The sequence below is a fragment of the Homo sapiens genome, chromosome 18 (assembly GCF_000001405.40).
Source record: "Homo sapiens chromosome 18, GRCh38.p14 Primary Assembly".
NCBI lineage: Eukaryota > Metazoa > Chordata > Mammalia > Primates > Hominidae > Homo > Homo sapiens.
The window spans coordinates 61607479-61619051 of NC_000018.10; the positions used below are offsets into that span (position 1 = coordinate 61607479).

General features: G+C 41.4%; 1 pseudogene; it reads right to left on the reverse strand.

The window, feature by feature from the left end:
* LSM6P1 (LSM6 homolog, U6 small nuclear RNA and mRNA degradation associated pseudogene 1) lies at positions 10746–11184 on the reverse strand (annotated as a pseudogene).

Sequence of the window (11573 nt, forward strand, 5' to 3'; positions counted from 1 at the left end):
AGTAGAAATTACACAAAGAAAATTTACATCTATGAAGGAAATCTCCATTTCGTGTCTCCTTTCTGTACCAGTCTAAATCACTAGAGATGTAACAGCGGAGACAGCACTGACAAATCTCAATAAACCTTACCCTGGTTTGCCGTGCTTTTCCTGGTTACCTCCCCATAACCTGCCTTTCCCACACCCTTCTTTGTTTCAGTTAAAGATGGTATTTATGCCTGAACTCAAAGCCATCTCTTTGGGATTTACTCATTTTTCCCTGGGTGACTCTCATGTATATATGAGGCAGACATGTTAATAAACTTCTATTTTTTTTTCTCTTGTTAAACCATCTTTTGTTACAGTGGGTCCTGGCTAAGAACTCAGACTGGGTAGAAAGAAAATTATCTTTTTCTCCCCTACACTTGCCTGGATGTCTACAGCCAGCCAATGCCTAATGTGGAATTGTAATGCACCCAGACCATTTCATGTTATTAAAGGATCTAAAATTTATATGCAAAAGTGATGGTCTCAGCAGTCAGCTCTTTTGCAGCCTCATTCAGTCTCAGCCTCCTTTTCCTCTGAGGCTGTGATAAAGGCCAGCGTTCCAGCCTGGAAATGTAATGTCAGCTCATGATCTATCCTAGCAAGTATCACTGTGCTTTCAGAGCACACCAATGGGAGCAATTACCTGCATTTTCAAGAAACCGTGTTTGTCTGAAAAATCTCCACATTTATTTTCCCAGCTAAAAACAATGAAAATAAATCCTGAGTGGAGAAGTGACCACTATCTTTCATTCTGCACCTGCCAACTTTGCTTTGCTACATACATCACTCAAGCCTGACCATTACAAGCACTTTCCCAGTTTTGTAGAAAGCACAGTTGTTTACTGGTCATAATTTTAACAGGGGGAAAACTAGACTCTGGGTATGAGACATAGAAACAACCAATCACTGATCTGGTTATTCCTCGACTCCAAGACTAGGCTATATTTAAAACTTACTCCATAAATTGCTCATACACAGTGTTTGTAGTACTCAGCCCTCACTAAAATGTTAGCAATCTACATGGTTACAGCTAGCCCTCCCTCACCCCAGTACTGAAGTTTCCTTCCTGAATAGTTTCATTATTTATTAATAATGAAGTAAGCTGAGTAAGATCTCCCTAGGTCTAATTTAAATAAAGCAGAATGTAAATGAGCTATTTCCTTGGATTTTATGCTATGCTGATTAAGTAACCATGTACAAACCTTCAGGTATACAGTTAAAAATAAGAAGGAATACACATTCCCAGAAAAGACTCAAGCTTGTCCTAGACAATAGCCTCAAAAGATTAAGAGCACACAGCAAATCCCAAGATTCACTTGTCTTCAGTAATTCAGTTCAGTAAACTTTTTTCAATCATCTACCATGTACAGGTGACTGGGCTTGTCATTTCGGAGGCATAAAGATGAATAAGACATGGTACCTGCACCAGAAGAACTTATCTATTTCTCATCCATTAAGGTATGGACACCTTATTAGTACCAAATTTTATTTTTCATCCCCAACAAGACTTGCATTGGACAGGATCAAACCATGTCCTCATTCTGTGGCATGAATTGAATCCCATAATCAAAATGCCAATGCTGAAATAAAGGAGGAGGGAAATATTAACAATTTTTTCCTAAGAAATTAATTTGTGTTGATTGGAATCTATTTTCCCAGGGCACATTTTTTTCCCAAAAAATTCTTGGATGTATTCTCAAATATTTGTCTTCATTGTAACTTTGCTTCTGGTTTGCTGTAAGACCTATTCTTCTCTATGTTTTATTACATGAAAGGAAAGGAATCTAGCTGCCTTCTCCTCTGCAAAACACAAAACTAGTGAGACAAGGCTGTTAAAAGAATGAATTCCATCATGTCTTGTGCAATTTGGAGAATTTCTCTTTAGCTGAAATTTTGAACACAGACAAAATGCTGAATATGTAATGCCCAGAGACAACTAATTCTAATAAGCCCTAAGAAGAGACAGTGTTTAAATGGAAATTAGCAGTATGAGATTAAAAAGGAGCATGAGGTAGGCATGTCAGGAAGGCTGAAGCCATAATGAGCAGTAACCTTTTCTCAAACACTCTTAAATCTGTTGCCCAGCCTAGCCAACTAGTCATCCAAATGCATCATCATTTGAGAAAATGTTCTAACCTGAGTCTAGATTTGCTTGGATATGAAGAGTACTAAATATGTCGCCCCCCCCACCCCAAAAAAAATATGCCACTTTGGCATGAGGATTATTTTGAGCTAAAGGCAATTGAGAACCAGCAGATGGAGGAAGAGCTCAAATTTCCTCTAACTGCCTAAAACTAAAGAATAAATTTTCCCTTTTGTAAAGAAAACTTATATTTAATAAGGAAATTCTCATTTGCAAAAGTGCCTCCATAGCAGGAAGAAAGCTACTCAGGAGACAGCTCTTATCACTGAGACACTCTTATCTGCATAACAAGGCAATCCTTATTTACTATACATTTCCTCCCCTCACCTTCCCCTAACTTGTCTTCCCCATACAGAAGCCCCAAGCCCCTTTTCCTTTGCTTAACCTAAGAGGGTGTATGAATCTCAATCTGGCTGCCTCCTTGAGCCACATTTTTTTTTTCTGTGATTGAGAGCCACATTTCTTTTCTCTGCTGCATACATATATAATTAGAACTGTTTTTTGTTTTTTGTTTGTTTGTTTGTTTGTTTTCTCTCTTGTTAATCTTTCATCAGTTTGATTTATGGGCTTTAGTCATTGAACCTAGAATGAGACAGTAAAATGGATTTTTTTTCCCTCGCCTTCAGAAGCTGCATGCATTCTAGCAAAGATGTTGATGGTTCTTTCTATGTACTCTACAACAGCAGTCCCCAACATTTTTGGCACCAGGGACTGGTTTCGTGGAAGATAACTTTTCCACAGACGCGGAGGGGACAGTTTCAATATGAAACTGTTCCATCTCATAAGGAGTGCACAACCTACATTCCACACTTGCACAGTTCATGCTCCTATCAGAATCTAATGCCGCAGCTGATCTGACAGGAGGCAGAGCTCAGGCAGTAACACTCACCCACTGCTCACCTCCCCTCTGTGGCCTAGTTTCTAACAGGCCACAGACTGGTACTAGTTGGGGACCCCTGCTCTATAACACCTCTGAAAGGAGTTTAATCTAGATTACAGGGAAACTCAAATATGCTAACATAAGCCAAGAGCTCTTCCTTAAATGGGGAAGATTAATGACAAACTTCTGGGCTGTCCAAGTTCTTGGGGCACTTCATGGCTCATACAGCTGGCGAAGCTCTGCACCATCTTTCTCATGTTTGACCTAACATCCTGTGTCTCCATTGTATTTCATACCATGTGTCTCCCCAGCCCAAATTCAAAAGAATATTTAAGACCTTCCAACAGGATCTGAAAGGATGACCCTTTGAAATGGGTCATTACTAGTGCAAAGAACAGTTTCTGCCAATAAGAATTTCCCATTTACCCCTAAAGGGCAAAGATTATATTTCACTGATATTTGTGGGTTATGTTCCCCACACCTCAACCCCAGTACGCAGCACTATGCCTAGTTCAAATTAACACAGCAGGAGTTTGTGAAGGAGGAAAAACTTTTTCTCTGTTCCTTAGGAGGCCTGCAAATTAAACTGAAAAAAAAAAGAAGAAGAAGAAGAAGAGGAAGTTTATTTGCTCATATAATGGGCATATATGCAGGAGTGCTCAGTAAATCAAAGAAGTGGTTAGAATGTGGGGCTTATGTACTTAAGTTATGAGAGAAAAGGAAGATGGAAGAAAAGACATCTATGGGAAAAACAAATAAGTTTCTTTAGGAATGATAGATGGATTTTTAGGAGAACAAATTAAAGATAAGAAAGTTTGTGATAAGTGGTCTATCTTCTTCATGGTCATGAAACTCCCTGGAAGAGCGAATCTGTGGTAGGTTAACTCTTGGTCTGTCTCCCAAAGACCTGCCCTAAAGAGAGAATTTATGGCAATCTCACATACCAGAGGTTCCTGCTTTTAGTCAGATAAGGAATGCTTCAAGAAGGCTCCTTTCTGTACCTGTTGAATCTCAGATGTCTTCAACTTAATCTTTATACCAACTCTTCATTCCAAGTGGGTCCCCATATGTTCAATTAATGAAGATGGAACTGGATGAAACACTATGTGGAGCATGGTTCCTAGGTGAGATAAGCTAAGCAAAATGATTCCCATGCTGATCACTGAAGGACTTCATTCTTTCTACGAGGCACTAAATTAGAATTCTATTAGGTGGAGGCTACAGTAACTGCCCAGTGGGTTCACCTTGCCTGCTGCCTAGACAGAGCCAATTTATCAAGACAGGAGAGCTGCAATAGAGAAAGAGTTATCCACACAGAGTCGGCTGTGCAGGAGACTGAAATATTATTACTCAAATCAGTCTTGCCGAGCATTCAGGGATTGGAGTTTTTAAGGATAATTTGGTGGGTTGGGGGCCAGTGGTCAGGAGTGCTGATTGGTTGTGTTGGAAATGAAATCATACGGAGTCAAAGCTGTGCTCTTCTGTTGAGTCAGTTCCTGGGTTGAGGGGGCACAAGATCAGATGAGCCATTTTGTCAATCTGGGTGGTGCCAGCTGGTCCATCAATTTCAGTGTTGGCAAAATATCTCAAGCACTGATCTAAGATTTTCCAATAGTGATGTTATTCCTAGAAGCAATTTGGGGAGGGTCAGAATCTTGTAGCCTCCAATTGCATGACTCCTAAACCAAAATTTCCAGTCTTTTGGCTAATTTGTTAGTCCTATAAAGGCAGTCTAGTCCAAAGGTAAGAAGGGGGTCTGTTTGGGTAAAGGGCTGTTTTCTTCTTTGTTTCCAATGATAAACTAGTGCCTCTCAATGTAAGTTTGGCCTATACCCTGGAATGAACAAGGACAGCTTGGAGGTTGGAAGCAAGATTGCATTGGTTAAGTTAGATCTCTTTCACTGTCTCGGTTATAAATTTGCAATGCTGGTTTCACTACTGAATGCATCTCTTTGGGATCTCAGCTAGAAGAACCAACTGTTCTGCTTCAACTCCAGGCCTGATTACTTGGACCAAGGTAGTGTTGAAGCTCAGAAAACAATACCACAAAGTATGGTCTTTGGCATGCTAAGCACTTTGAATTAAAGGAAATTAGAAGGCTTTAGAAGCTGCCTCAGAAGCAAGGTCTCTCTGACCTTCCCTTTTTCTTCCTCCAAACACAAGGAGGAGCTCTCTCTAGGGAAGTTAGCTGACTGAGGACAGTACTACCAAAAGAAACACAATTACCTTCAAACATTTGTCTGAAATCTCATTGTCAGGGGATTAGTCACTGAAGAAGAAAATGAAGGCTGTTCCCATGCCCATCTGTACAGACCTTTTATCTATTCTTCTGAGGCCTGTTACCTGAGAGACTTTATCAGCATAACAACTGTTGTTCACAGTACAGTTCTGTCCCTCAGCTTCCTATAACTTGTCACCATCTTCCCCAGAGCCCAGAGAAACTTTGTCCCAGCCTATTGTCTATTCTTTAAGCCCATATATCTCCCCTAAAAACCATTTACTCTTCCTCTAAAATTGTCTACATCCCCCACTTTGCTCTCCCTTACAAACAGGGCATTTCAGTTTCAGCCATCTGGCCCTTCTTCAGGTGTTCAAACTTTGTAAGCCTTTTATGCACTTGCACATTAATACTGTTGTATGCCTTTTCTCCTGTCAATCTGTCTCTTGTGAGTTTATTTCAGCAAACTCAATTACTGAGCCTTCGGAAGGAAAGTTTAGCTTTCCCTACAGTGATGATAAACCCACCTCCCACCCATGTTTCTTCTGCCGAGGCACAGGTTTTCTCTTTGTTTTGTGTTGTTTTGTTTTGAAAATTAACTTGACTGGGAAAATCAAACTATATGGACAGAACTTAGGATGACAGGATGGGTTTTGAGAGCACTAATTTTGTGGCATATTGTTTTATCCAAGTTTACTTTGCAGCTTGGTTGGCATGTATTCAACCATCCTCAGCATTACGTGGAGAGAACCACCTTCTCAAAGACCCTCATTTTAGTCTTGGACCTTTTCCTCTTCTGCTTTCTCTACTGGACACTCTCTCTACCCTACCTCTGCAAATTGGCTGAACAAAGTAGTAAAAAAGCATAAGATTTGGATACAGTTTCTGGCTAAGCACCCTAAAACTCTGTAGGCACATCTCAGCTGGTTGCCCAGTCTGAACCTTGCACCATACTCTTGTTGGAGACCAGAATATGCCACTCCAAAATATGCCTCTTTGGCATAAGGATCATTTTAAGCTAATTATTTTAAGAAACTGCAGACACAGGAGAAGCTCTGACACGTTAAAGTTACCCATTGTAAGGAAATTTACATCTATGAAGGAAATCTCCATTTGTGTTGACTGTTTTGTTGTTGCTGTTGTCGTTTTTAGAAACAAGTTATTACCATGTTGCCCAGGCTGGTCACCACCTGCTGGGATCAAGTCATCCTCTCATCTCCCAAGTAACTAGGACTACAAGCACATACCACCATGCTAGGATGGAAATCTCCATATTTAAGGTTGTCTCCCACTGTATATTAGGAAGAGAAGAATGACTCTAAATCGCTAGAAACTATGAACACAGAAGGCAAATCTGCATAACAAACTTATTGACAAATCTGTACAACAAACTTATTCTTATTTACCATGTGAAATAGTTTGGATCTGTGTCCCCATAAAATCACATGTTAAATTGTAATCTCCAACATTGGAGGTGGGGTCTGGTGGGAGGTGATTGGATTATGGGGGTAGATTTCTCATGAATGGTTTACCACCATTTACATGATACTGCTCCCGTGAGAGTGAGTGAGTTCTTATGAGATCTGGTGGTTGGAAAGTGTGTGGCACTTCCCCACCTCTCTGGCTCCTGCTCAGGCCATGTGAAATGCTTCCTTCGCCTTTGCCTCAACCGTGATTGGAAGTTTCCTAAAGCCTCCTCAGAAGCTGAGCAGATGCCAGCACCATGCTTCCTGTATAGCCTGCAGAACTGTGAGCCAATTAAACCTCTTTTCTTTATAAATTACCCAGTGTCAGGTTTTTTTTAGAGCAATATGAGAATGGCCTAATACACCATGCTTTTCCTGGATACCTCCCCATAACTAGCCTTCCCTACACCCTTCTTTTTTTATTTCAGATAAGGATGGTATTTAAGCCTGAACTCAAAGCAACATCTTTGAGAATTACTTATTTCTTCCTGGGTATCTCCAATGTACACATGAGGCAGACATGTTAATAAACCTGCTTGTTTATCTTTCACTTTGTGTTTTGTTACAGAGCTCCATCTCACTAAGAACTATGAAGGCGAAAGGGAAACTTATTTTTCCCTCCCTTAATCTCTTCTCTTCTTCACCCCAGCCTCCTCATACAGTACCCAAAAAAGAAGAGGTCATCCATAGAAATATAAAAAGAGTGACAGACATCTTCCTTCTTCTCCAGTCTCTGCCCAGGTATCACAATACTAGTAGCAACTAAGAGAACTAAACATATTATAAATGTTGGGAGTTTGGAGGAGTTCATCTCTGTGGGTGCTCTGCTTGAAAGCTGCACTTAAAGCCAGACCTTCAAGATGTCAGAGGCATTTGAGTCAGAGTGACTCCATCTTGAATAGGGGCTGGGTAAAATGAGGCTGAGACCTACTGGGCTGCATTCCTAGGAGGTTAGGCATTCTAAGTCACAGGATGAGACAGAAGGTTGGCACAAGGTACAGGTCACAAAGACCTTGCTGATAAAACAGTTTGTGGTAAAAAAGCCGGCCAAATTCCACCAAAACCAAGATGGCAGTAAAAGTGACCGCTGGTAGTCCCACATTATATGCTAATTATAACACATTAGCATGCTAAAAGACACTATCAGCGCCATGACAGTTTATAAATGCCATGGCAATATCAGGAAGTTACCCTATATGGTCTAAAAAGTGGAGGAAAGAACCCTCAGTTTCAGCAGTTGCCACCACCACCCCCCAGCCACCCCACCCCTGCTTTTCCAGAAAACTCAAGAATAATCCACCCCTTGTTTAGCATATAATCAAGAAATAACCATAAATATAGACAACCAGCATCCCTCAGGGCCGCTCTGCCTATGGAGTAGCCATTCTTTATTCCTTTACTTTTTTAATAAACTTGCTTTCACTTTACTTTGTGGACTCTCCCCAGAGTCTTTCTTGCATGAGATCCAAGAACCCTCTGTTGGGGTCTGGATCAGGACCCCTTTCTGGTAACAAATACACCAAAGGAAATGACGACAGGAGAGATGAGGAACTGTGAATATAAAATAGGCCCAGCAGCCCCTGCACTGCACAACTGCAGTGGGCACCCTTCATATTAGCCCCCGGGGTCAAGCAATAGGGACAAATTTGTGCTTCATTGAAAATCTATGCTTTGCCTAGGTTCTAGAGGACCCATCTCTGGGTTATCTGATTGTCTAGGACTTATTTTACAGCTCTATGATTGTGTCTGACTAATGGCAATGCAAAATAATTCTTGGCTATAGACATGTAAATTCTGTACTATCTGGTAGAGGTTCCATTGACTTTTATCTCCTAACGTAAAATAATCTGGTTTGGGGGGGAGGCTGTTGCACATTAATTTCAACATTCCTGTACTCCCTATGTTAGTGCTTTTTAAAACTTTTCCTTTGACTTGATTGTTACACCTTGCCAGTGTAAGTAAAATCTTTAGCACAGGTTCATATTTATATCTGTATGAGTGTGGCGTTTCACCCCACAAGTATCCAAAACTTGACAGAGGGGAAGCCTGCGCTGAGAACTTACCACTCACCCCTGCTCAGGGCACATTAGCATAACAACAGAAGCTTTATTCTCAGGACCTGGCCTTTTCCCTTTTTCCCCCAAAGGGCTCCTCAGATAAAACCCTATTACCCTGGGGAGGGTGTTTCAAATACACTGGGGCTGTTAGGTGGAAGGTTTAATTCATATCTAAGTGACTGGAAGACAAGCTGGGTTTGCATTCTAAATGTACTGGAGCCTGGACCATTTGCAAGTAAATAAAAATTTCACTCTCCTCTCCTTTTCTAATAGTCCTTAACGTCTGCTGACAAGTAGCTACTGAGAAATTTTCATAACTAAAGGGCAAGCTTTCGCTTTGAATGCTAAATAAGTTTCTTTAAAGATAAAAATCTCCCGGCTAAAACGGTGAAACCCCGTCTCTACTAAAAATACAAAAAATTAGCCGGGCGTAGTGGCGGGCGCCTGTAGTCCCAGCTACTTGGGAGGCTGAGGCAGGAGAATGGCGTGAACCCGGGAGGCGGAGCTTGCAGTGAGCCGAGATCCCGCCACTGCACTCCAGCCTGGGCGACAGAGCGAGACTCCGTCTCAAAAAAAAAAAAAAAAAAAAAAAAAAAAAAGATAAAAATCAAAGCCTTGACCCTCTTCCTATAGGTAGTATAGGAAGCACCAACTGTACTTTTTTCCCTGCCTGCCCTCCCTCTATTAGGGCTGCTAGAAGGCACAATGATTTTTGTATATTCACCAAAATAGATTTGGTGCCAAAATAGACCAAAGCTCAGCCAGGAATCTTAGCCTGTTGGAGCTACCTGGGAGTTCCTAGGTCTATTATTTTGCTGAAACTAAGAAACTCAGAGGAGATGATACAATGGATAAGTGGGCAACCAGGATCTAAAATCAGTGGCTCCAGATTCATTAGGATTTCCCCCCTACACCCTGAGCAAAGCCACCCTCTAGCACACTGGTCCTCAGAGTGAAGTGTAGGAAGAAATAGTCATTTCACTTTATTATTATTTTTTAATTAATTAATTATTTATTTACTGAGACAGGATCTCACTCTGTCTCCCAGGCTGCAGTGCAGTGGCACCATCACAGCTCACCATAACCAAGGCCCAGGTGATCCTCCCACCTCAGCCTCCTAAGTAGCTGAGACTACAAGCGCACTTCAGCATGCCTGGATAATTTTTGTATTTTTTGTAGCGATGGGGTTTTGCCATGTTGCCCAGTGTGATCTTGGACTCTTGGGCTCAAGCCATCTGCCTGCCTCAGCCTCCCAAAGTGCTGAGATTACAGGTGTGAACCACCATGCCTGACCTTGCTTTATTTTTAAGTTAACATTACTTTTAGTTTGTCTTTCTCTAAAAAAGTTTAGCATTCTGTACATTGACATAAGGTAAAAGAAAATGAGTGAAACTTAAACATGAAAGAATACTTCACAATTAAATCCACAGTTTTATACATTTATTTCACATGTCAGTGAAAACTCACCTGAGGGAAGAGAGAGACCCTCTCATATTGTTTTATACTCAGAAAACGAAAGAGAAGAGAAACCAAAGGCAGGTAGCCCAGTGCCTAGGAACCAGACCTGAAACCAAGGAACCAGACCCGAAACTAGGCCTGGCCTGCCTGACCTAAGCCTGGTAGTTAAAATTTGACCCCTGACCTAGCAACTGTTGTTATCTATAGTTTCCAGACATTGTATGGAAGGACATCGTGATACCTCCCATTCCGTTCTGTTTCACTCTGACCACCGGTGCTCGCAGCCCCTGTCACATACCCCCTGGCTTGCTCAATCAATCACGACTCTCTCACGTGGACCCCCTTAGAGTTGCGGGCCCTTAAAAGGGACAGAAGTTGAGCACCTGATGAGCTCGGATTTTAAGACGCTAGCCTGCCAATACTCCCAGCTGATTAAAGCCACTCCCTTCACTATCTCAGTGTCTGAGGGGTTTTGTCCGCGACTTGTCCTGCTACACACAAACTATTATAAAAACCTGGACAAATTATATCACAAAAGAAGCAAAAAATGGAAAAAGGTTCCATAAAAACTACATCCATGTATGAAAAGCATTGCTCTCTTGGTGTCGTCACATCCTTTTCTTCTGTGCACTGATGTAGAACACATGGTTTCTGTGGCTAAATGCAACCCCATGCTTATTCTTCAGTTGTCCATTACATATTCTTCTGCCTGCTCCAGGGCTATATTCATGTAGCCATCCAGGCAAGCCAGAACCCCTCAATAATCCACTGCAGAATTTAATTTTACCACAGTTGGCTGACCCAAGATTTGCTTTAAGAGTCACCAGAGGTTTGCTTCCGAAGACTCATTTTAACAAACCTCGCGCCTGGGATCCAGAACCCTTGCTCCAGGTGCCCTATAAGCTCATCCTCTATAGACAATAGCAGCCAAAACCTTTACTTTTATTTTCTTTTTAATATTTTATGTCTATTTTACAATATAATATAACATTCTAGCAAGACTATATCATATACAGTGGTCCTTTAATATTCTTGAAGGATTGGTTTCTGACAGAGCAGGAACATCACCATCTTGGACAAGCACTGCCATTCTAAATTTCCCCTTGATCAAAAACCTCCTAAATCCAAAGGGCATCAGCCTAATGGCTAAGGTCAGCATGACCATAAACTACAAATTACATCTCCGACCAGAAACATTCCAACCATAAGATAAACCCCTCCCTGACCAGAGACATGCCAGCCCCAAGATAACCTCCCGTCCAGCAGGAGAAATGTCAGCCCCAAGATAAGCTCTTCTCCAACCAGAGATATTCCAACCCCTCCA